Below are 26,306 nucleotides of genomic sequence, written 5' to 3' on the forward strand. Positions count from 1 at the left end.
TTGTATTTTTAGTAGAGATGGGCTTTCGCTATGTTGGCCAGGCTGGTCTCAAACCCTGACCTCAAGTGATCTGCCCACCTTGGCCTCCCAAAGTGCTGGGATTATAGGCTTGAGCCACTGCACCGGCCTAATATGTTTCTTTTACATGGTGGTGTAATTTTTGTTAGCTCAAATCTTTTGAAAGCAGAATTCAGCCTGTTCACATTTGGTATACACTATTGGGTCATGAGTTTGATGTTAATAAATCAACAGTATATTAATCCATTAAATGAGGTGTCTTAAACAGAAATACACATAAAATAAGGTTATTCATTGATCAGTGCATGGAAATGTTGTGACCAGAGACTCATAGGAATCTAACCCTTTATTTCCCATGTTAGCAATGATTTAATAGTCTAATTTAGTATCTTCAGAAACTTTATGGAACATAAATACCACAAATAATGATAATTGTATATATGGAAAACTTTATTGTGTGGTAGTCTAGTTGTTCCACTGTTTTAAAACTTTCAGTGTTATAGATGAGAATCCTCTTTTCCTTTGTAAGTGATTTGAAACTTCTTCTGAAGCGTTGATGAGTTTCTCTTTATTTTAGGAGTTCAGAAGTTTTACCAGAATATTCATGTGTGATTTTCAGCTAGTGCTATCTGGAATTCAGTCATTAAAGACTCAGGTTTTTAGTCAGATCATTTGTCCCTGTTATTACTTATTTATTGCTTCACCTTCATCTGTTTTGATTTTTCCTTTTTTAGAGCTCCTAGCATACTAGGGTCTTCTAGAGCTCTCTTACCTATGCCTCATGACAGTCATCTCCTTGTTATTTTTGCTGTGTTGTGAGAAAGTTCTTCCTCTTGATCTTCAAGGCTACTAATGAACATATTTCTTCTACTGAATTTTTAAATTTGAAAATAATCATTTTTAGATTGAGAGAGCCTTTTAAAGCTTTTAAAGAGCCTTTTAAAAGCTTTATTTTAATCTCAAGTAATTTTCTTGCTTTAGGGTTAAAGATGTAATGAACCTTCAGCACTTCCCATTTCACCAACTGCCTGTTCCAGGTGTTGACCTTTTTTCTTTCTCCTGGGTGCTGGGTGCACTGTCTTTGCCATTGTGTGACCTTGACTCTGTTAATCAGAGATAAGGAACACCGTAAAGGAAACCACTTTGTGAGAAGAGATGACGTGCCAAAGGGAGGTATAGGTGATTTATAACCAATGGTGAGGAGTGGGGATACAGAAAAAATTAGGATCCTGTATAGTATTTTCTTTGTGATTATTATTAGGAGCACAGTCCATGAGGAAATCAATTGTAGGGAAATATGTGACACTGAAGTAGGGTCATGAAAAAGTAGAGCTTTAGACTTTTCCTTTTCTCTTTGCTAATTTGATCTTACTGGATCCAACTCTGATTGTTCAAATATAGACCTATAGGAATTGGAAATATCACAGATTTATTGTGTGAATTACATAATAATTGTAAAATATTTCTTAATCTAATACTGAAATTCTTTAACTTAGGTATCGGTTCCATTTTCTCTTTTATTCACCTTCTCTGTCATTTGGTAGCATCTGCAGTAATTGCTGCTGCTTTTGTTTGGGCTGAATAGATTTTAATGATGTGACTGTTATCTTGCAGGTGCTACCTATATAATAATCACCAGGCTAAGGACTGTATCGACTCCTTTGTTACTCACTGTGTTCGGGTAAGAGCTACAATTTGGATTGTCATAATGGGTACTTTAAAAATCATGGGCTGTGGCCGGGCACGGTGGCTCACTTTGGGAGGCTGAGGCAGGTGGATCACCTGAGGTCAGGAGTTTGAGACCAGCCTGGCCAACATAGTGAAACCCCATCTCTACTAAAAATACAAAAATCAGCGTATGGTGGCGCACGCCTGTAGTGCCAGCTACTCAGGAGCCTGAGGTGGGAAAATCGCTTGAACCCAGGAGGTTTCAGTGAACCAAGATCGTGCCACTGCACTGCAGCCTGGGGGACAGAGTGAGACTTTGTCTCAATAACCATAATAATAATAATAATAATAATAAATTGCTGGACTGCAATTCCTTCAGTGTCTGTGCTTTTTTTCATCTAATATTTCTTGTTTACTTTCAGTGAATAAATAAAAACTGTCTCCTCCTAACACTTGAGTGGATGGTTTTATATCCTAAGGTCTTCTGATAGGTTATTAGCTACAGAGGCAGCCTTGGATGACCTCCCACTGCAGCCTGTGGGGACCATAGATAGGGAATGTTATGACTCTCAACTGGGAAAACAGCAGTTGCTTCCTCAAAATTTTTTGTGAATGGACATAAAAACTTTACTTTTTTTTTTAACCTTAGAATTTTTTTTTTTTTTTTTTTTTTTAAGACGGTGTCTCGCTCTGTGGCCCAGGCGGGAGTGCAGTGGCGCAATCTTGGCTCACTGCAAGCTCCGCCTCCCGGGTTCACGCCATTCTCCTGCCTCAGCCTCCCAAGTAGCTGGGACTACAGGCGCCGCCATCATGCCTGGCTAATTTTTTTTTTTGTATTTTTAGTAGAGACGGGGTTTCACGTGTTAGCTAGGATGGTCTCGATCTCCTAACCTCGTGATCCACCCGCCTTGGCCTCCCAAAGTGCTGGGATTACAAGCGTGAGCCACCGCGCCTGGCCTAACCTTAGAATATTTTTAACATCCTTGTACACTTATCTTTGTATTATATTAATGAACTGAGTTATAATAAAATTAAAATTATTGGCTGGGCATGGTGGCTCACGCCTGTAATCCCAGCAGTTTGGGAGGCTGAGGCAGGTGGATCACCTGAGGTCGGGAGTTCGAGACCAGCCTGACCAACGTGGAAAAACCCTGTCTCTACTGAAAATACAAAATTAGCTGGGCATAGTGGTGCATGCCTGTAATCCCAGCTACTCAGGAGGCTGGGGCAGAATTGCTTGAACCCAGAAGGCAGAGGTTGCAGTGAGTAGAGATCACGCCATTGCACTCCAGCCTGGGCAACAAGAGCAAAACTGTCTCAAAAAAAAAATTAAAATTATTAATTTAAATGAGGTCACAAATTGTTTTCATCTCAAGTAATTAGGAAAAAATGCAAATCTTGTAGTGAGTTGAATTATTCATTTTTATTTAATTTTTTAAAATATTTATTTATTTATTTATTTTAAGACAGTGTCTCCCTCTGTTGCCCAGGCTGGAGTGCAGTGATCTTGGCTCACTGCAACCTCTACCCCCTGGGTTCAAGCAATCCTCCCACCTCAGCATTCGGAGGAGCAGAGACTACAGGCTCATGGCACCACACCTGGTTAATTTTTTTGTATTTTTTGTGGAGACAGGTTCACCCTGTTGGCCAGGCTGGTCTCAAACTCCTGAGCTCAAGTGATCCGCCCGTCTTGGCCTCCCAAAGTGCTGGGACTTACAGGCAGGAGCCACCGCACCCGGCTTCATTTTTATTTAATTAGATGTATTTCTTTTAGAGAACTCCAACAGGCAGCTTTTTTGGGTCTACTTCCAGTTACTAAATATATATATATTTCATATATATATCTACTTCCAGTTACTAAATATATATTATATATAATTACATTATATATGTACATCACAAACACTCAGGTTTAGTATATTAGACTTTGAGTTCAACTTTTAAACTTATTTAAATATATAAATATATATTATATGATATATATTAATATATATTATATATCATATAATATATACTATAATATATAATATAGTATATAATATATAATGTATATAATATATAATATATATTATATATAATAATATATAATGGAAAGGCAGCATGGTATGGGGAAAGAAAAAACAATAGAAGACCAGAATTTATTTCATTTTTATCATTAATATTTTATCAGGCATATCACTTTAATTTTTAAACTTTCCCTTTTTTTTTTGTTTTTTTTTGAGATGAAGTCTCACTCTGTTGCCCAGGCTGGAGTGCAGTGGTGCGATCTCAGCTTACTGCAACCTCCGCCTCCCAGGTTCAAGAAGTTCTCTGCCTCAGCCTCCCATGTAGCTGGGATTACAGGCGCCTGCCACCACGCCCAGCTAATTTTTGTATTTTTATTAGTGACGGGGTTTCACCACCAACAGTCACAACTGTTGACCTCATGATCCACCTGCCTTGGCCTCCCAAAGTGCTGGGATTACAGGGGTGAGCCACTGTGCCCGACCCAACTTTCCACTCTCTAAAGAGTAAAATGCTTATATCTTCTCTGACCTCTTACAGGGTAGTTACTGATCAAATGAGATAATATCTGTCACAGTATGCAAATATAAAACAGTATTATACTTTGAGAATCTTCTAACTCAGACTTACAAATCCATGTCTCTTGCCTGGTTAGTGGAATGTTACATAGTATTTTAGATGAGAACACCTTATGGAGAAAGCAGGAATAAAGAACCATAGTCAAGCTTTATGGCTATTAGCTCTTTTTAAGCTAATAATTATTAGGCATTCTGACATATTTATAGCAGCACAGGAATGTCAGCCTTGAACATTGGCTTTTGACTCAAGCAGGAAAGAAATTGTCCTTGTGAAATTGCAAGAAGATATCTAAAGATCGAAGGAAGCTATTTTTATCATATGAAAGCAAGTTTCACATGAAGCTGTTTTTTTCCAGTTATTGATAAATTCTGGTGTTGAGTTCCTTAAAACAAACACCTATGTAAAATTAAAAGTATACATAGACCTAATTCTTACATACACAGCATTTTTTTCCCTTAAACCAGATTGTGAACTTGGAATGTTAAGTTTCTTTGGTACTAGGAAATTTCATATTTACAGTTGACAAATTATATGTGTATTGCAGCCATTCTGTAGTCTTATTCAGATCCATGGACATAACAGGGCTCGACAGAGAGATAAGCTTGGTCATATTCTTGAGGAATTTGCCACCTTGCAGGATGAGGTAAGAGCCAGGTTCCCCTCTCTTCTAAAATTAAATGATGCACACACTTTGTCCAGATTTTTAAAAACAATAATTCAGAACAATATTTTGACTAATTTTTCAACATGATCCACTTTTCACTTAAAATATAACAGTTTCTTACACCAACGTTTACAAAATGAAACAGAACAATAATCCAAACTGATAGATATCTTAAATATTTCTTTGATAATAGGAATAAATTATGAAATATGTATAAAATGATAGTTTTACAAGCTTACATTATAAAAAATATTAATACATTAATTTTAAAGTTAATTTGTGTGCAGCAGCAATATTGATAAGACCTGAAGTGTATTTGTATTTTTGTCCTTTAAAATTGATTTGGTTTAAGGCATGTTTAGGTAAATGTTAACCATTGTGAAATGAGAACTTCAAATGTAAACCTAACTAAAAATGCATTTAAAAATGTTTCTTTGGGTGGTCAGATTTAAATTTTCTGCTCATATTCTTTTTAGCTGTACGTTTTTTTAAAGTTCTGTCATTACCTTAAGAAAACAAAACGAACACAGTTTATGACATTTTATTTTAATAGGCAGAGAAGGTTGATGCAGCGCTTCACACCATGCTGTTGAAACAGGAACCCCAAAGGCAACATTTGGCCTGTTTAGGTACCTGGGTCCTTTACCATAACCTTCGCATTATGATACAGTACCTTCTAAGTGGCTTTGAATTGGAACTCTACAGTATGCACGAGTACTATTACATATATTGGTAAGAGCACAGTTTGAGTTAAAATTGGTGGTGGGTGCAATGGATAAGATCTGAGAATTCAGAGTTAATTTCAGGGTACTTTTTCATTTAGTATATTTTATCTTTAGTTGTGGGACAGTTGGAAAAATTTGAAAATTAGAGCTAGATCATCTTGAATATCTTTAAGTGCTATAATATTGCATGAGTGTATTTTTCCAAATGTTTATGTAAAAATTAACAAAAAATGACTCCAAAGTAAATGGATTAATTGAAGATCATTTATTTGCTCCTATGGAGAAAAATTAACACATTTTGCCCTGAATTTGGTGGCACTAGCTGTGGATGTACTTGACAGTTAAACATCAAATTGGAATGAGGTCTGTCTTCTTGGAAGAAATCATGACCAAGGTGATCACTGGGAGCATAACTGTTTCAAACCGTGGTGCTGAGGATTCACTTCAGGAGCTTTGGAGTTGATAAAAGATGATCTTCGGCAGAGTAGTTCTTCCCTTTCACTTGCGGACAAAATAAACCTAGTAAGAGGATGTTTGGAAAAGAGGATGTTTGAGCATATTTTAGGCATGTAAAAGCTGTCATAGAAAGAAAATAAGATTGAGTGTTAATGAATTCAGTTATTTTGAATTTTTTTCTCAGTCTGGCACATAATTTTAAACTAATGACCTGTGTTACTCATCACAAACACTCAGGTTTAGTGTATTAGACTTTAATAGAGTTCAACTTTTAAACTTGTTTAAATTTTACCTAGTAATTAAGTTATTCTGTATTCTCTGAAGTCACTGCTGTGGGAGGGAAAGTAATTCTCTTCCATGCTGTTGATGTAGATTTTGTTATGAGCAGTGAAGGCTTTTGACAGACAACTCTTGCCTGTGAAAACTGAATTTGAGCATCAACTATAGCAGTATGAGAATAATTTTCCTTGCTATATATTCTTCAACATTTATATAGATAATACCAAATAATCCTTACTAACAGGTATTTATATAGCTACTTTGGATACTACATTTTGTTATTCATAGTAGACAATTCTGGTTTTGTTTTCGTTTCTGTTTTTTGAGGTGGGGTCTTGCCATGTTGCCCGGGTTGGTCCTGAACTCTTGGGTTGTCAGTCTTCCCACCTCAGCCTCTCAAGTAGGTGGGACTACAGATGTGCACCACTGCACCTGGCTACTTTTGTTCCTTTTTATAGGGGAACATGCTCAGGTTCTTTTGTGGCTTGAAGCAGCTAATGGGACCTTTGTTCTTGATTTCTCAGATCAAAATATTATTTTTATATGCTTTTTTGCACAGAGAATTGGGATCTTAATTGAGCAAATAAATGAGACGCAGATAAATACTCCATTACACATTTGTCTATATACATAAGTAGATTTGTTTCTTTTCTTGTTAAAAGAACTTTAGTCTGCCCATAAATACCCTTGTGGTCTTTTCATAATTGGTTTTGAACTGCTTTTTAATTTCAAAATTACAGATTGGGCTCCTGCATTTCCCCGAGATAACCTTTAGTTGTTTTTCATGCATACGGTCCCTGAAGCATGTGGACTCTTTAAATCATCAGCAAAAACAGTGATTCTTAAACTTTAACATGCATCATAATCACTTGGAAAGTGCATTAATACACAAATTTTTGGGCTAAGTTCCTAGAATTCCTGACCTGTTAGGTCTAGGGTGAGACCGAATAATTTGCATTTCTAACTGGTTCTCAGGTGAACTGCTGCTGGCCCAGAGATGACAGTTTGAGAACCATTGGTATAGAATATCAGCACTCTCTTAGACATAAATGTATATTAATTTTGATAAAGCACTTAATAAAAGATCATTGAGGTACCTGATATTTGAGAAGAAAAGGCTGCATCTTAGTTGTCCCCTTCACTCATGTGTCCTTAGGTTAGATAAACAGAAGGTAGAAGACATCATCAGTTGCCTATAGAAATCCTTCACTTGAATTAAGATATATGAGTTGTTATGGACTCTCACATTTTGTAGGGTGGCAGGGAACAAAATTCAGTTATATGGTATAAAAGGGTACTATAGTAAATGTTTTTCTTAAATTCAGGGCCAGGAATTGTTTACTCTCCATATGAAATTATAGGCCTTATTATGTTATGAAATGCATATATATTTTTATATATATATATATCTCGTAGATTTGAAGACTTTTCTGGCTTAGCAGTGTTAAAGTTCTGAAAAATTAGTGTCTGGTAGAGAATGTTCTGTTTTATATTTCATTTATTAAATAAACTCAAGTAAATTGTAAATGTGAATGTTCTTAATTTTTAAGAATGATTTTATATAATGCCGATAATTTTTTATCTTTTTCTGATTTTATTTGCTTTGTGATTAAAAGAAAATATTTATAGACTGAACTGAACTGTGTTCTGATATAATAAAAACTTAATGGGCATTCATTTGATTTGCATATGTACATGTATAATTATCAAGAAATCTTCTGGAAAGTTGTAAAATGTAGAAAGGGAAAATTAATCCTTATGTTCATTTCTTGTAAGATCTAATCTATTATCTAATGAATGATCTGTTTTTAAAGACCTAAAGCATTATTTGAAATATCTATCGTTAATATATGTGTTGATAAAGCTGTCTCATTTAGACATCTACCATTAACTAACATTTTGTATCCTTTAAGGTATCTCTCTGAATTCCTTTACGCATGGTTGATGTCAACATTGAGTCGTGCCGATGGCTCTCAAATGGCAGAGGAAAGGATAATGGAAGAGCAGCAGAAAGGCCGTAGTAGTAAAAAAACAAAGAAAAAAAAGAAAGGTGCTGTGGATTATTTTTAAACTTAAGAACAGAGTGTACTTTAATTTCTACAGATAAATAGATGGAGAGCTACTCGTGAGTTGGTCATTATATTTTAGTTCTTGTTCCTCTTTTCAGAAACTATAAGGTAGAGACTGAGTCCCAGTATCAATGACATAAGCTTTTTGGTTCCTTTCTTTGCTTTCATTTCTTTGCTGTTCTGTGTATCAGAGAATCTTTGATCAAGAAGTAGCCACGTGGAGTGTGCAAGCAAGATATCGGTGAGGGAACAAGACAGCAGGAGGCCAGTGACCTATTGACAGAGCCAGATAGCTCAGGAGGGCAGTAGTTCTGGAGCTGTGCTGTGGTAGCGGGCACCGAAAGGTGGTTACAGAGCGCCTTGAGGCATCACCCAAGAACCATGAGGACAGAGAACCGTTTCAAAGGGACTGCCCTATTGATCACTTAGGGAAGGCTATAGATATGGCTGCAATTATTATAAAATACTACTTCATATTTCCTTAGGACTTAAAGCAGTTTGGATGGGTCATTAAATCACTGTATTTGTGGGTTTCCTATATAAGAGGTTAAATCTCTGGTGAATTCAGAAAAGTTATAATTACTTTATACTGGAATTTTATAGTATTAGCTATTTGGGGACATGATTATTATATTTTATTTGTAGATTTTGACCATAAATAAAATTTAACCTGTAGGAACACACTGAAGTTTTAATTTAGTATACAAGCTGAAAGATTTTTTAAAATTAGATTTTCTTTTGCAGTAATGCAAGAGGGAGGAGGAAAAGATTATGGAAGATTACGTTTTTCTTTCTAATTACAGTTCGCCCATTGAGCCGAGAGATCACAATGAGCCAAGCATATCAGAACATGTGTGCTGGAATGTTTAAAGTAAGTTGTTGAAAGTGAAGTTCTTTTTGCCTTTTAGCTATATCCCTATTATATAGTTTATTTAAACTGTTTTCTGTGATTCTTTCCATATTATAATTTCACCTTTGTTTTACTTCCTGTCTGCTTGAAGATTACCTTTATTATCATTAATTTTTTCAACAACCATTTGAACCCTTGCTTATGTGTGAGACACTTTGTACTGAGTACATTGCAGGAGATACCAATTCTATATGGTCCTTGTTTGAAGTCTCCAGTGACAGGCCAGTTGATGTATCTGTGACAGGTAGTAAGAAAAGGAAGAGAGTACTTCTGATTGATGATCAGGCAAGGCTTCGTGGAAGAGATGGAATTTAGGTTTTTTAGGAGTGTATTAGGAAGAGGGTGAGCTCCACAACGAATGGCTTAAGCAAAAGCAGGTCTTTTCAAAAGGCAGTGGGTACTAACTCTTAAGTTGTACTTGGCAGTCCAAGAAATCATTTGAGGTGACTCACATTAAAATGCATAAAGCAGAACATGGACTTCTCTTTGAAAATAGGACCTGTGCTTATGACAATTATATGTCCTCATTTCTTCAGAAGTGTTTGCTTGAAGGTTTTAAATAGCTGTTTCTTGTCTTCCATTCTGTATTGATGAGTGTTCACTTTTTTCATATTGATTTCATCTTTTTTCTTATTCCCTTTTTCATTTAGACCATGGTAGCATTTGACATGGACGGCAAAGTACGTAAACCGAAGTTTGAGCTTGATAGTGAACAAGTTCGGTATGAACACAGGTTTGCTCCATTCAACAGTGTGATGACCCCGCCGCCAGTGCACTACTTACAGTTCAAGGTGAACCTGCTCAATGAACTTGTTATGAAATCTTTAGTCTTAGACCTTCTTAGAGAGATGCTGTTTGTACCTAGCCATCTTGTTACATTAACAGTTATTTAAATCATAAGAATAATATGAGGTAGCATATGAGGGTTGAGAATTATATATTACCTAGGAAAAAATAGGGAGATGTGCTGAATGTTTGCCCCAGTGTCTGTGTATGAGTGGATAGAAAATGTAGAATTCTTTAATAATTAGAAATGGGATTTTAGAGTTGTTCATATTAAACGTGTTTTGAATTATACTTCCCCTTCTTTTTAGGAAATGTCTGACCTCAATAAATATAGCCCTCCTCCTCAGTCTCCTGAACTGTATGTGGCAGCTAGTAAGCACTTTCAACAGGCAAAAATGATATTGGAAAATATTCCTAACCCGGACCATGAGGTGAGACTGGATTCACAGTAATTCTAGGGGAAAAGCGTGGCAGGAAATACATCTCTTACTGCTGGATGAAAGTTAATTATGAAAGTGAACTTTAATAGTGTTAGTGAATAGAACTTGGCGTGTTTCTGCGAAGGATTTCAGGTAGTTTTGTCAAACTAACGTTGTCAGACTTCAAGTTATTTTAAGAATGAGGTGATATAAATATCTGCTTTGTATAAATTTAGAAGTCAATGCAAAGACAAATTACAACTCAAAATCATAAAGAAGGATAAGCATAAGATCCAGACTGATCTGATTCATAGCTCAAAATGTAAGCATTGAAACATTTCTGTTTTAATCAGTAGTTTGTTAAAGGGGCCAGGCGTGGTGGCTCACACCTGTAATCTCAGCACTTTGGGAGGCCGAGGTGGGTGGATCACCTTAGGTCAGGAGTTTGAGACCAGCCTGGCCAACATGGTGAAATCCCATTTGTACTAACAATACAAAAAATTAGCCAGGCGTGGTGCATGCCTGTCTGTAATCCCAGCTACTGGGGAGGCTGAGGCAGGAGAATCATTTGAACCCGGGAGGCGGAGGTTGCAGGGAGCCGAGATTGTGCCATTGCACTCCAGCCTGGGTGACGAGCGAAACTCCATCTCAAAAAAGAATTATTAAAATGTAACTAAGTCTTACATAAGTATGAAAAATGACCGGGTCAGTTATCACCGGAACAACCTTATTCCACTTGACCATTTAAAATAAAGGCTACTGCTTTTGAAAACTCTGAGATATCAAAATAAACTTGGAAAAAAATTGTTTCAGGCTTTTGGTATTTTAATAATTTACCATATCCCTAATTTTATTGAAATACATTTATTTTCTAAAAGTTACTGTAACGTGTACATACTGTTTTGGGAAGTATATCTTGGGACCGCTTCCATAGAGGCGTAGCTTAGCAGTGTTTGTCAAAAATCATTAATGCTTAGAGTCAGCAATTCTGCTTTTTGGGATTTATATAGAGACATGAACACATATAGGAAGTGAGAGTGACGAATATAAGAGTATTCATTGCAGCAGGATTTCTAATAGCAAAAAGTAGGAAGAAACAGTAGTATCCATCAACAGGGGACTAATAAATTATGATACATTCATACAGTGGAATACTGTGCAGCCTTAAGAAGGATGAGGAAGATCTTTATGTACTGTGATGGAATGCTCCTTATGATTTAAGAAATCTAAAAAGAAAGGTGCAGTTTAATATGCATAGTATGGTGCAGTTTCAATAAAAGGGGGCAAGGAAGCCTATATGTATGTGTGCGAGTATAAAATATCTTTATAAAGATAATATCAGAATTGGTAGTTTTGTTTCCTTCCTTGGAGGGAAGCAGAGTGCCTGGAAGAGAGATAGGAGAGACACTTTTTAAAAATTATATGTACCATCTAAGAAAATATAAAGGGGGAGTCTAAAAATTTGAGGAGCTACCTATGATGACATATTTCATTTAGTGAAACTTCATTTATTCAAAGATGAGTCTGTGCTCCTAATACTATGCTGTGCTGCCTTTTCAGGACTTTGCAGCCTAATTTTTTTGTTATTCAGGAAAGCAAGATAAGGTAGCCATTTCAATTCAGAGTTAATTGAAATGAAGTTCTATATTATTAAAAGAAATATATTTATAATTTTAAATTGCTTTTATTTAATAAAACATCAACACTTCCATTATACAAAGTTTCTATTAGTATCTGTAATTAATAAATTTTGACTGGCCACAGTGGCTCACGCCTATAATCTCAACACTTTGGGAGGCCAGGGTGGGAGGTCTGCTTGAACCCACGAGTTCAAGACCAGCCTGGGCAACACAGTGAGATCTTGTCTCTATAAAAATTTAAAAATGAGCTGGGTGTGGTGGTGCACAGCCATTTGGGAGGCTGAAGTAGGAGGATTGCCTGAACCAGGAGGTTGAGGCTTCAGTGAGCCGTGTTCTTACCACTGTACTCCAGCCTGGGTTGACAGCAGGTCTCAAAAAAGAAAAAGAGAAATTTTGACTATGAAGTTAATGTTTCAGTAGTTTTATGTTCATGTTTCAGGTTAATAGAATTTTAAAGGTTGCCAAACCCAACTTTGTGGTTATGAAGTTATTGGCAGGAGGACACAAAAAGGAATCTAAAGTGAGTACATTGTGGGAAAAATAAGTGGTCTTAGATTATTGTGAAGTTTCATAAGTTTTGCAATAAGATGTGTAAATATTACAGGAAAAATTAAACCACTGAACAAAAATCATTCTAAAAATTTTAGTTCAGCAGCAAAAAATTAGAGCTTGCCATTTTGTCTTGAGATGTGTATTTTGTTGAGTTAAAATTTCTAAAGTCTGCCTATACGTTTTCCATCTCCTTGCTGTGTAAATTACTGAATAACTTGGGGTAAAAAAAGAAAATTTATGTAAAGAAATTTTATGGGAGAAGTATGAGGTATTTAAAAGTCATCTGCCTTTGGGAAAGTGAATGCTTTAATAATGAAAGACTTCTTTGTAATGGCTCAGAAGAGGAAGAGTCTAAGCTTTTCTTGGTAATGTTATATCATCCATGCTACGTCATCATTTCAGAGCAGAGATTCTGCGCTGTGGAGAGGCCAGCCGCGGAGGCACCGTGGGGGCATTTGCCTGTGTGTGTTGTGCACCTTTTCTTCCATTGTTTCCTGTGATCTGCCTTCCTCCTCTCCTGCCCTGGTTTCCTACTGACTGACTCTCATCTCATTGCTTAGTTCTATCAGTTACCTGGAGCTAAAAAGTGTGCTGACCCCTGATCTAACTGAATGCCTTTCCTATAATTTTTGACTATTTATCTTTTAACTGTTCTTTGAAGATAGAAAACAGCTGGTCAGCCTGTTTTCTTATGATCTTCATAAAACTCAAAAACAAATTAATCGTTTTTCTTCCAGGTTAGTTCCTACCTTTTTTGTCATTAACCTAGTTTTTAAAATCTATTTTGTGCTGCCTTGTTTCTAAGAACACAAGAAACTCTAAAATAAAAATAGTCTTTGTTTTGTGTACCATCTGAATATTTGTAGATACATTAATTGAGTTTCGTTTTTCTTTAACAGGTTCCTCCTGAATTTGATTTCTCTGCTCATAAATATTTTCCTGTTGTGAAACTTGTTTGAGAGAGACTGGGGAGGTGGCCATAAAGGGGCAGAGTCTTCTTTCAGACCCAACTCTTAGAGGGCACATCACCAGGCTCCACATCACGGGAAGTGAGATGGATTTCTTGGGTAACAACTCATTATAAGGAATACTTTTAGTTTGACAGCCTTATATGACATGAATGAAAACTGCTGTTTTAAAGTGGTTTATTATGTTCCATGGAAGAAACTGGTCTTATTGAATGCATTGATGAACGTTATATGGTTTTATTACAGATTTAATCACAAATCATTTTTTATGAATGATTGAGTGAAAATAGTGTTTATAAAGGTTAATAAATTTCTTGACAAAAAAAAAATGCACTGCTGGAGATGAAAAACAGTAGGTCTTTGTCCATGTTAAGAACTGAAGAAGGTGTATGCTCTTTAACATTTGAGTAGTTCCAAAAACGTTATCCAAAAGAAGTTTCAAATCAAGGGATTAATTAAACACTTGTATGAGATTTTGGTAAAATACATTTAGAAGGGATTTTTGGGAGGGCCTCTAAATTACATGAAAATTGTGATTTTTATGTGTCATGACATCACAAATTATATATCTGTAAGAATACAGATGTGTAAAAAAAATCCTTTTAGCACTTTTAAAAGATTATACATTGTTTGCTGGTGACATGCAAAAAGGAGGCAGATAGAAATGTATATAGATTAAAATTTAGGACTAGGTTTAAATGTGGTGTACTTTTTGTTTACTTCATATTCAGTTTAACCCATGAAACATTTTCAAATGGGTGTCTGTTCAGTATCCTCTGGCTTTGAAAAACTGACTACATCCCCCTGTGCTTGCAAGTGCCTGCTGCCAGAGGCCCTCCCCTTCCTTTCCTGCTTGTCCTGTGTCTGCTCTGATGTTTGCGGTGGCAGCTTTCTAGGCCTCTTGGGCCTTCCTTTTTGTCCTCTGTAGCAGGCAATACTCTTAGCAAAATGAGTTACTCTGTGGTGTAAATTGGCTTTGGTGGCTTAGCCTAAGACTAGTGACAGTTTTATATTTGGTCTGTGGTTAAAAGGGTTCTCAGCTTCAAATATCTTAACTCTGATTTGGTACCTTTCATAAAAACATGATAGTATAGTGAAACTTTTCTGGCAGTACTTTAAAGCAGCTAACCTGACTGAACTTGCTAAGGGTGTTCCTGTTGCCCCTCTTTGCAGCTAATGAGCCCTCTTGGCTCTCCTTTCCAAGAGCGGTAATACTTGTGTTATTCAAGAACAGCCATTAGGTGTCCTGAAATTTCAGAACCGAAAAATCTTAAAAAAAATTATTTTTTAAGTAGCCTGTACAATAGAAACTTCAATTATGGAGAGACAAAGAGTATACCTGTTACTGATGTAGTTACTTTGTTGAGAATGAAAACTGTTTCTGGCTGGTAATTACTGAATGCTTTAAACAAAAAAAGGCAAAGGAATGGTAGGAAATAGGCAAGACAAGAAACAAAGAATCAAAAGAAAAAGCAAAGAGGAAAACAGAATGAGCATGGACATTTGGCAAACAACCAAGAAGAGAGCCTGAAGCAAGTTAGAAAGCTGAGAAATTATTATTCTTTCCCAGTGGCCAAGATACAAAGTATAAAAAATATGTCCCCCTTAAAAGCAAAAAAAGGAATGTAGATTAATGCAACAAGGGCCCTGCTAGATGATGGGATCACTTTTAATTAAGAGGGTGTGCTGGCATTTTTTAGCTACTATGTCTGATTGGGTCTGCTGGTATAGACGAGCATCTAGGTTATTTTGAAGTAGGTCTTCCTAAGTAAAAGTTTTCCTATTAACCCATTATCAACTAAAAAAGATTGATTAGTGTTAGATTTATCAGTGTATGTTACTGACAGAATCATGTGGTTTCCTTTAAGTAGCTTTAATTTTTGGTTTTTAGTTTGTTTAGAGAGGAGGTTTCACTATGTTGCCCAAACTGACCCAAACTTGTGGGCTCAAGCAGTCCTCCTGCCTCAGCCCCCAGAGTAGCTGGGATTATAGGCAAATGCCTGCTTGGCTAGTTTTTGTTTTTAAACAGCAGGTTTCTAATTATAAAAACAAATTTGCCATTTTATAATTTTTAAAGTAATCTGCCATTCAAGGTACTTACTGAAAAAAACAATAGGAGAAATAAGACAGTCTCCTGTCATAGAGCTTTTATCATCTTACGACAAATACAGAAAAGCAACAGGTATTGAAAATGCAGTGAAGAATATGCTGTATGCTGGGTAGGAGAACTGCCCCACGTGAAACTTTAGGTGACAAATCCCCATCGCATCTATTCAGGAGGCACTGCTGGGAAAAGGGTCCCAGACAGAATGTGCACAGGCTTGGAGGGGAGAGGGTAGCAGCCTGGCCGAAGTATAGAGCAGGAAAAGGATGGCGGAGATGAGAGGCAAGGAGAAGCCGATACCCAAAACCCTGGGAGGCCACAGGTTAAAGATTTTGGACTTTATTCTGATATTGGTAGATTCTACTGAAGGCTTGTATGCAGGGACATGATGGGATCAAGTCAAATCTGCTTGCCTGAGAATGGTTGAAAAGGGAGGCAGGGAAGCCAGTCACGTGAGAGAAAATGTTGGTCTTAACAAAGGTAGTGGCAGAGCAGGTGGAAGAAAGTGGATGAAATCAAATGTTTTCAGAGGTACAGCTAATGGGACATGGTGAATGAGAGTTTCTGCCAAAATCAAGGATGATTTTTCAGAAATTTTTTTGGCTTTGGCAACTAGACGATGGTGGTGCCACTTGTGTAGATATCTAGGCAAGGTAGGAGACCAGGTTTGGGATAAAGATTGCTTTAGACATTGAGATATCTTTGGGACATCCTGGTGAAGATGGCAGGTAGTTTGGTCTCAAACTGGGAGGTGCCATCTGGGGTGGAGATGAACTGAGGACTCAGTAACTATAGTCACTGTAATTTTCTGGGGGTTGCCATTGCTCAGGGAGCTCCTAGAGTAAGGGACTGAGATAGGTCCCAAGGAATAGACTTGGGAGGGCCAGGGAATGGGGAGGCCACTGAGGTGGTGGGACAGGCTGCAGGGAAGAATACCTCAAAATCATACGAGGCCACTCTTTGACAAGTGTGCCTGTTTCACCGTTTTGTTTGCACAAGACTCTAAGACAGTATACTGCCTTAAATAAAGTGCACCCTGTTTGGAAAAGTTCAGGAGAGGTGGGTGTTTTCCTTGTTCCTCTTTGGCTATGCTCTGGGCACTGGAAAAAGCCTGCAAAGGAGACTTATCAGGAAAATAAGCAGAATGAGGGCCATATGCCGCTCAGAGGCCATTAAGAGAAGGACTGAAAAGAGCCCATTGAACTTGGCAAGTAAAGATTGCTGGCGACTGGGGCGAGCTCTTTCTTGAAGGGGTGGGGCAGAAGCTGGAAAGTCAGTTGAGGTGTAGACCATGCAGTGAGGAAAGAGCGACTCAACTGGGCTTGAAGAACTGACTTCCCCATATTCATACTTGCCCCACTCTATTTGTGGAGTGGCTGGTATGATCTTAAAAGATCATAAAATGCAAGCATGGTCACTTGACAACTCTACTTAAAATCCACTGTTCTCTAATGAATGACCTAGTCTTTACCCAGAATGCCAGTTTGACCCCTTCTGCCTCTCCTACTTCGTTTCTGCCCTCTCCATTTGGCCCCTCAGGCTGCAGCCACATTGGCCCCCTGAGACCACCAAGCCTTTAGTATCAAATTTTGGAGACTCACATGAAGTTATTATGCAACAGCTCTCTGAGTCTTTACACTGATCACGAAATCAGGAGATTGAGACCATCCTGGCTAACAAAGTGAAACCCCATTTCTACTAAAAATACAAAAAATTAGCCGGGCATGGTGACATGCATCTGTAGTCCCAGCTACTTGGGAGGCTAGGACTACAGATGCGTGTCACCAGAGGTGACTGTTCTATTTTGTTGGAACAGCCCACAGCCCTCTCCATTGTTGGCTGAATCTGTCGTGATCCCTAGGGCAGCCTGGAGAAAGCATGCAGAGTGCACACGTGGTGAGCACAAAGCTTTCGGGGTACTGTGGGTTGAAGACGTCCTGACAGCCCATCTCATTCCACAGAAGGTTTAAGGCAAACTGCCATCCTTAGTCCACAGTTTGAGGGTGGATTCTTTAAGGATCTAATAGAGGATGAAGGGGAAAAGCAAAAAAACAGAGCTGTGACAAGTTTTATAAGTTGAACAGAACATTTTATTTCTCAGCAATTCTATGCGTACAAATTAAACATGAGATGAATAGAGACTTTATTGAGAAAGCAAGAGAAAATTCCTATCAACCCCAAGGAGGACTCAAAGTGAGGCTGGAAGAGGACTTAGAAGAGTATGAAAGTACTCTAAGATTTTATCTAAGTTGCCTTTTCTGGGTGGGAAAGTTTAACCTTAGTGACTAAGGACATCACATATGAAGAATGTTTAAGTTGGAGGTGGCAACGTGAATTGCAAACAGGGCCTGCTTCAGTGACTGTGTGCCTGTAGTCCCAGCTACTCGGGAGTCTGTGTGAGGCCAGGGGTGCCAGCGCACCAGCTAGATGCTCTGTAACTTCTAGGCCCCATTTTCCCCTCTGAAAATAAGAGGGTTGGATCAAACGATCTCTGGGGCCTTAGCATCTCAAATCCTGTGGATCCTCCTACTTACCCCTTAGAGAGCCTTACTGGGAAGTCAGTCATTAATGATGTGGCCAGTTATTTGCAAGTGGTAAGAGCCTATTTACCATAAATAATACTAAGAACCAACTCAAGTCAAACCTTAATGCCATTGTTATTGTGAATTAGGATTAAGTAGTAATTTTCAAAATTCACATTAACTTGATTTTAAAATCAGTTTTGTGAGTCATTTACCACAAGCTAAATGTGTACACTATGATAAAAACAACCATTGTATTCCTGTTTTTCTAAACAGTCCTAATTTCTAACACTGTATATATCCTTCGACATCAATGAACTTTGTTTTCTTTTACTCCAGTAATAAAGTAGGCACAGATCTGTCCACAACAAACTTGCCCTCTCATGCCTTGCCTCTCACCATGCTCTGCTCCAGGTCAGCCCCCTTTTGGCCTGTTTGTTTTGTCAAAAACCTAATCTGCTTCTTGCTTTTCTTGGTAATATATATTTAGGGAAGATGTTGCTTTGCCCACACACGAAGCAAAGTAAATAAAGACCACAAATGTTCAAATTCTAAGCCACTTAATAGCGTTTTGTACATTAAAAATGACAAGGGTTATTATACAAGTAGCCTTTTAAAAAATTCTCACACAGAACAGCTTTGTATTTAGACTTAAAGCTGTTGCTACTTTGCTAGTGACGTTTGTGTTAACAGTCAGTGCTCTAGGCCATTGATTGATTGATTGTCAGAATCAGAAGTGACTACACAAGAGCATTAGCCAGACTTTTCAGTGAGAACAGGTAACAGGCTGGCACCAGCACTTGGTACAGCACGTGGACAGGACGACGGAACCCAGAGTTCTCTGTCTCTCCTTCACAGCAGATGGACTCTTCTATAGGTGGCTGTTAATTTACACAAAGTTATATTCCAGAATCAGGAAGCCCCGCTGTCGCCAACACTTGAAGGAGAACTATGTTCCAGTTTTGGTGTTGAACTTCTCACGAAATACCTACTACCAAAAATTGTGACACCTTATTAGACACTTCCAAAGTACCCCCCAAAAGCTGTTTAAAAGACCATTCCATTTTTTCCTACACAAAGTGCATACTAAAATTTCACAATAATCATCTTCAGATGTACATTTTATTTAGTACATTTCACAGTTTTCAGTATTCAGTCCCTCATGAACATTTTATAGTCATCTCTTCGGCCCTGTTGTGAAATATGTGATTCCAGTTCAATTCAGAGTGTATGATTCCGCTTTTCACGCTGATCAAGTAAATTTATGGTGTCTCTTTTCTGATCTTCAACATTAAAAACTAAAAAGGAAAAACACATAATATTCTATAGAGTATTAAATGAGATACTAGCCCTAGGCAGGTCCCATTTTCTTATCAACTTCTAGAAACTGTCATAAAGAGGACTGCATCTCCCACAGCAACACTGTAATTGGGAGTTGTATTCCTCATCAAGGACAAGATGGCAACGGTGATATGGGAGGGGGACAGGGAAGTGCTGGGTAGAGAAGGGCAGGGTCACTGGCAAGGGCTCCACCCTCAGGCTTGTGCCCATGGACCTAATGAGAACAAGGACTCCTGTCTTCTTGCCCAAATGTTGCATTTTCCAAGACCACTCTGGCCTGCCATGCCACCCATTCTGTGCCTATAAAAACCCTGAGACCCCAGCGGGCACACACACAAGCGGCTGGACGTCAAGAGGAACACACTGGCAGAAGAACACATCGAAAGACGCTGGCAGGCCATTGATGGTGGAACGATTCGGACGCCAAGGGAAATTCGGCCAAGGACAGTAGGAGATCCCGGCTGCTGAGCAGCCAGACTCCAGAGGAAGACTACCTTCCCATGCTATCCCCCTTCTGGCTCCCCAGCCATCTGCTGAGAGCTACTTCCACCACTCAATAAATCTTGCATTCATTCTCCAAGCCCACATGATCTGATTTTTTCAGTACACTAGGGCAAGAACCTGGGATACAGAAAGCCCTCTGTCCTTGCGATAAGGCAGAGGGTCTAATTGAACTGATTAACACAAGCTGCCTGTGGACAGCTAAGCTGAAAGAACGCACTGCAACACACACCCAGTGGGGCTCCAGGAGCTGTAACCACTCAACCCTAGATGCTGCCGCGGGGTTGAAACCCATCCTCCCCACAACCTGTCCGTCCGCATGCTTCCCCTAGGGGTTTGAGCTGTGGGGCACTGAAGAAGAAAGCCATACCCCCATTGCATGCCCTGTGAAGGGGATAAGGGAACTTTTTTTTTTTTTTTTTTTTTTTTGAGACGGAGTCTGGCTCTATCACCCAGGCTGGAGTGCAGTCGTGCGATCTCAGCTCACTGCAAGCTCCACCTCCGGGGTTCACGCCATTCTCCCGCCTAAGCTTCCCGAGTAGCTGGGACTACAGGCGCCCGCCACCACGCCCGGCTGATTTCTTTTTGTTGTTGTAGTTTTAGTAGAGGCGGGTTTTCACCCTGTTAGCCAGGATGATCTCGATCTCCTGACCTCGTGATCCGCCCGCCTTGGCCTCCCAAAGTGCTGGGATTACAAGCGTGAGCAACCACGCCCAGCTGGAACTCCTCCCCTTTCAAAGTGTCCAAATGGATGACCAACAATGTGCCATGAAACAAAGCTGAAGCACCTAAAGATTCCATACTTGTTTGTAACAGTGACATAATGCCCCATATGCCATAGAAAATGGACAGTATCAAGTGCACTCATGACATTTTAAATATAATCACCACGCTCCTGTGCGGCGTGACTCCCTTGCTACTGCACTTCTAATGGCACACGCTGCCTCCTGAGAGCTGTCTGCAGCTTCAGACAGCTCTTGTGACTCCAAAGCTCTCCCTTTACAGAGCTGATGTCTGTATGTAGCTTCTACCATCTGATCTTACTCTATCCTTTTAACACACAGAAAACATAAAAAGGCACATCACAAATAAAACCTAAAACCACGGTCTTGATTTATAACTATGGCACATTAAATGGTAGTTTAATGACCATTAAATACCTGCCATATTAAATTAACGGTATCTGTTAAAGGCTCTTAATAAAGTTGGAGCTAATGCTTTTTTCTTCTAATTTCCCTGGAGCAAGTAAGGTCTCACTGTTTCAATGACACAATCTTAAAATAATGTTGAAGCTGATGTTGACATTTCTTCAGCTTCTTCAAAGAGCTGACAAGGCACTCATTTTCTTTACCTTACCTACTTACTTTGTTTAAAACCTTGCACAAGGTCAAGTCCTTAGGACACCTGAGTGTAGGGAATGAGAGATCCAAAAAGGCTTCACCGCAAAGCCCATCATTTAGTAGGAAACTAGGCCCAATTTAAAAGGTGGTTAGAGCCGGGGTGGTGGCTCACACCTGTAATCCCAACACTTTGGGAGGCTGAGGCAGGCAGATCACCTGAGGTCAGGATTTCGAGACCAGCCTAGTGGACATGGTGAAACTCTGTCTGTACTGAAAATACAAAATTAGCTGGGCATGGTGGCATGAGCCTGTAATCCCAGCTCCCAGCTACTCAGGAGGCTGAGGCAGGAGAATCACTTAAACCCAGGAGGCGGAGACTGCTGTGAGCCAGGATTGTGCCATTGCACTCCAGCCTGGGCAAGAAGAGTGAGACTCTGTCTCAAAAAAAAAAAAAAAAAAAAAAAAGAATAGAAGTAAGACAGTGACCAGACCGTGAAACATGCTCAAGAACATAAATGAGTGGAGTCAATGACAACAGAGAGTTTGTATTTGCTTCAAAGTCTGGCTGCTAGTGTATTTTGCCATTTGCCTTTTTAAAAAATTGCCTAAATGAAGACAGCTGAAAATTCAAATTAGGACTTGGATTCTAAAAATTCCAAACAACTCTGCCAATTGAAACAACTGACATCCTGGAGAAATATAAAAGATAATTTTTAGGGGGACATTGTTGAAAAATCAGACAAGCACAGATTGAGGGACTTTCAACCAAATAACTGAGCCACTACCCTTCAAAAAAGACCAACAACATAAATGATAAACTGCTCCACGATAAAGAACACTAAAGAGGTCTGACAATAAATGCAGTGTATAATCCTGAACCCAGAAAAAAAGACATGAATTGGACACTCACTAAATTTCAACAAAGTCTACAGATTAGATAATAGCATTGTATAAACATTAATTTCCTTATTTTGGTAATTTTACTGTGGTTATATAAGATGTTAACATTTGGGGAACCTGGGTGAAGGGTATACAGAAATTTTTTGCTTTTTAAAGAAGTCTAGATTATTTCAAAATGAAAAGGTAAAAAAAATGTAAGTATTAAAACATTAAATGAATAATGCATTGCCCAGATGGTAATAAAAGAAGGTATTGTTAGCCAGACGTGGTGGCTTACGCCACCCAGCACTTTGGGAGGCCAAGGCAGGCGGATCATGAGGTCAGGAGATGGAGACCATCCTGGCCAATATGGTGAAACCCCGTCTCTAATAAAAATACAAATATTAGCTGGACGTGGTGGCGTGCGCCTCTAATCTCAGCTGCTCGGGAGGCTGAAGCAGGAGAATCGCTTGAACCCGGGAGGCAGAGGTTGCAGTGAGCCGAGATCGCACTACTGCACTCCAGCCTGGGCAACAGAGTGAGACTCCATCTGAGGAAGAAAAAAAAAAAGGGCATCGGCAGGATCAGCAAGGCCGAAACTGAAGTGAAGTAGTTGTTACAACGACTCCTGCTGCCCTGAGGATTTCTGCTGAATTCTGAAGTTTATGATGATATTTTAAAAGCAGTTACCCTCAGAGAAGATGGGGAAGTAATTCATAGTCATGAAAACTGTTAAAAAGGAAAGAAATCAAGCATTTATCCTATCTACCTTATACAAACAATACCACTGAGGTTTTTTTTTTTTTTTTTTTTTTTTTCCCCGAGACGGAGTTTCACTCTTCTTGCCCAGGCTGGAGTGCAATGTCACAATCTCGGCTCACTGCAACCTCTGCCTCCCGAGTTCACGCGATTCTCCTGTCTCAGCCTCCCAAGTAGCTGGGATTACAGGCATGTGCCACCACGCCTGGCTAATTTTCTTGTATTTAGTAGAGACGGGGTTTCACCATGTTAGTTAGGCTGGTCTCAAACTCCTGACCTCAGGTGATCCACCATCCTCGGCCTCCCAAAGTGCTGGGTTACAGGTGTTAGCCACCACGCCCAGCTGAAGTGTCTATTTCTAAGAACATTCCAATTAACAAATAACATAAAAATGAATTGATACAGGCATTGACCATCAACTGGCATCACAAAAAGAAAGACGCCAGGTTGCAGTCAGCCAAGATCGCGCCACTGCACTTCAGCAAGGGTGACAGAGCGAGACTCCATCTCAAAAAAAAAAAAAAAAAAAAAAAAAGACGCCAGACATGACGTGCCTCCCGATGAAAGAACCAAAGAACACACCACCACTCACCTTACCGAGGGCTTGAGCCAGGACCTGAGTCTCATCAAGTCTCTGGGTATAGCTGCCACTCTACAGAAAACAGAGACCAGGCGAACTCACTCAACTCCCCCATGACTCTATAATCAGCAGTATTCAGGCTGTGGGAAACTACAGTCACATGGCTTGGATTCTTTTGTTGTTGTTGTTGAGATGGATTTTCACTCTTGTTGCCCAGGCTGGAGTGCAGCGGTGCGATCTCAGCTCACTGCAACCTCTGCCTCCCGGGTTCAAGCGATTCTCTTGCCTCAGCCTCCCGAGTAGCTGGGACTACAGGCGCCCACCACCACGCCTGGCTAATTTTTTCTCTTTTTAGTAGAGACGGGGTTTCACCGTGTTAGCCAGGATGGTCTCAATCTCTTGACCCGCTGATCTGCCTGCCTTGGTCTCCCAAAGCGCTGGGATTACAGGTGTGAGCCACCACACTTGGCCCAGAAAAATGAATTTTAAGAAAGAATACTATGAGTCCATAGTGATACCAAAACAAACAAGTGTGTTGGAGGAGGGAGAGGAGTTCCTTAAAAAATGTCAGGTAATAAATGTGCTGTGATGGCAGCATGTAAAATGTCACCACTTGGGCAATGTTCATCAATGGATGGTAAAGCTACACAAGTTCAAAGCATCCTCTTCTAGATGACGTATTAATATCAAAAGGAAAATGGCCTTCTGAGACCTTGTGGGCACCATGTTAGCTAAGGGATCAACCAATCACCTGTAGGACCACCTGCTGTTATGCCTCCTGGGGAGAAGCAAGAATTCATCAGCCTGAATCCACCACAAGCAAACAGACAAGGCCAGAGTTTGATACATTCTACAAGATACTGGCCTGGACTCTTCAAAAATTCAAAATAATAATACAAAGGGCAGCTTTCATAGCTGCTTGGAAGCTCTATGCACATACTGGGGCTTCTCATCTGGGAGGCAGACTGATCAAGTAGTGACCTAGCCATTTTGTTGGGAAATCCCTAAATGTCACTGAAAAATCATCCTACTTAAAGAGTTGAGCCACACTGAATATGTTTCTAGAAACGATGCAGACTTTCCGAATGGTTTTCATCACCTTGGGCTTCTCAACCCTCACTTCCCTCCACTGCCCCTGGTTTAAAAGCTCCTAAAGAACAGACGATCTCCTTGAAATGACCCATTAATTACAATATAATTTTGGGGATTCATTGGATAATCACGGTGAAGGACCAGGAAAGAGAAATGAAAGGTGACCTCGTCACCGATGTAGGCCCCATTCTTACCATCTATGTTTCTGTCATTCCCTGCCAGGGCTGCTTGCTTGTCTGTCTCAGATTCTGCTTCATTTTCATCCATGTTGTAGTCATCTTCTCCTCTCAGTTTCTGCTGGTTTCTCCCTGTAAAATTAGCACATAAAACATAAGCTACATCATTTCTGTCTTGATGTCACAGGACTATCAGAGCACAAGTGCTGGGGGTTAGCCATACTTGCTCACAATCAGATCTGTCTGCTGCCTCTCTGGAAATGGTAGGGACGCAAGGGCTGGCTTCCAGGACAAGCACATGCATTATGTGTACTCCACTTGGACTCGGAATCTACAGACAGCATGGCCCTAAATACAAGGGTGCATTCTAGGCAGAACATGGAGAAACTAACAACCCAAATCTCAATTTTTTAAAGAGATAATCAACTCAAGATAAAAGAAAGGTGCCACTGTTTTAGGAAGGAACGGATATCTACAGCTAATGACAGCATCTCCTTAGAATGGAGAGAGGAAATGGAGCTGCCACTGTGAGACACGTGAGAAGGTGTCCCTCATACTTAGAGCATGAGAGCACCCATTACTCTATTCTTCCCTGGAGTGGGCAGCAGCCAGAGAAGATGAGGACAAAAGGCTTTCAAGAGACCTACTCAAAGGGTTTAACTTACATATTTTATATGTGTATGCAGGCTGGTAAACAAAATCTTTTTTTTTTTTTTTTTGAGATGGAGTCTCACTCTGTCGCCCAGGCTGGAGTGCGGTGGCGTAATCTCGGCTCACTGCAACCTCCGCCTCCGGGGTTCAAGCGATTCTCCTGCCTCAGCCTCCCGAGTGGCTGGGATTACAGGCACGTGCTGCCATGCCCAGCTAATTTTTGTATTTTTAGAAGAGATGGGGTTTCACCATATTGGCCAGGATGGTCTTGAACTCCTGACCTCATGATCCGCCCACCTCGGCCTCTCAAAGTGCTGGGATTACAGGCATGAGCCACTGCGCCCGGCCAAACAAAATCTTTTTTAAAAGTGCACACCTGGAAAAGCAGCTCTAGTCTCTTTCTCTGGCTCACTGCCTGGGGTGGAAACTGCACAGGCCTATGTGTCCACCGCGTTTCTTCAAATGAGGTCACCACACCTGCATCTAGAAGCAGGTGCATCCTGCAGGCACTGTGGCATCTCAGGCCCACCTTTGTTACGCTTTGTGACCAGCCGCTGAGGGGTCTGACACTGGAGCGCCACAGGCTGAGCGAGCCAGTGAGATCTCCCCGCCTCACACACCACA

At 39.7% G+C, this 26,306-nt stretch overlaps 2 protein-coding genes across 9 annotated transcripts in view; one reads left to right on the forward strand and one right to left on the reverse strand.

Annotated features, from left to right (window-relative positions):
• Positions 1 to 17,230, forward strand: part of NAA35 (N-alpha-acetyltransferase 35, NatC auxiliary subunit) — an 84,317-nt gene extending 67,087 nt beyond the window's left edge. For all 7 annotated transcript variants that reach the window (XM_005252127.5, NM_024635.4, NM_001321881.2 and 4 more), the window contains 9 exons: positions 1,633 to 1,699; positions 4,814 to 4,912; positions 5,487 to 5,665; positions 8,307 to 8,443; positions 9,266 to 9,333; positions 10,023 to 10,163; positions 10,467 to 10,589; positions 12,657 to 12,737; positions 13,669 to 17,230. In XM_005252127.5, the coding sequence (XP_005252184.1) occupies positions 1,633 to 1,699; positions 4,814 to 4,912; positions 5,487 to 5,665; positions 8,307 to 8,443; positions 9,266 to 9,333; positions 10,023 to 10,163; positions 10,467 to 10,589; positions 12,657 to 12,737; positions 13,669 to 13,728 (955 nt within the window). In that variant the 3' untranslated portion in view covers positions 13,729 to 17,230. The remainder of the gene's footprint in view (positions 1 to 1,632; positions 1,700 to 4,813; positions 4,913 to 5,486; positions 5,666 to 8,306; positions 8,444 to 9,265; positions 9,334 to 10,022; positions 10,164 to 10,466; positions 10,590 to 12,656; positions 12,738 to 13,668) is intronic.
• A 683-nt stretch (positions 17,231 to 17,913) lies between these two features.
• GOLM1 (golgi membrane protein 1) overlaps positions 17,914 to 26,306 on the reverse strand; it is a 74,004-nt gene continuing 65,611 nt past the window's right edge. For both annotated transcript variants that reach the window (NM_177937.3, NM_016548.4), the window contains exons 9-10: positions 25,050 to 25,163; positions 17,914 to 19,661 (exon numbers count right to left, since the gene is read on the reverse strand). In NM_177937.3, coding sequence (NP_808800.1) covers positions 19,585 to 19,661; positions 25,050 to 25,163 — 191 coding nt within the window. In that variant the 3' untranslated portion in view covers positions 17,914 to 19,584. The remainder of the gene's footprint in view (positions 19,662 to 25,049; positions 25,164 to 26,306) is intronic.

The sequence above is a fragment of the Homo sapiens genome, chromosome 9 (genome assembly GCF_000001405.40).
Source record: "Homo sapiens chromosome 9, GRCh38.p14 Primary Assembly".
Taxonomy (NCBI): domain Eukaryota; kingdom Metazoa; phylum Chordata; class Mammalia; order Primates; family Hominidae; genus Homo; species Homo sapiens.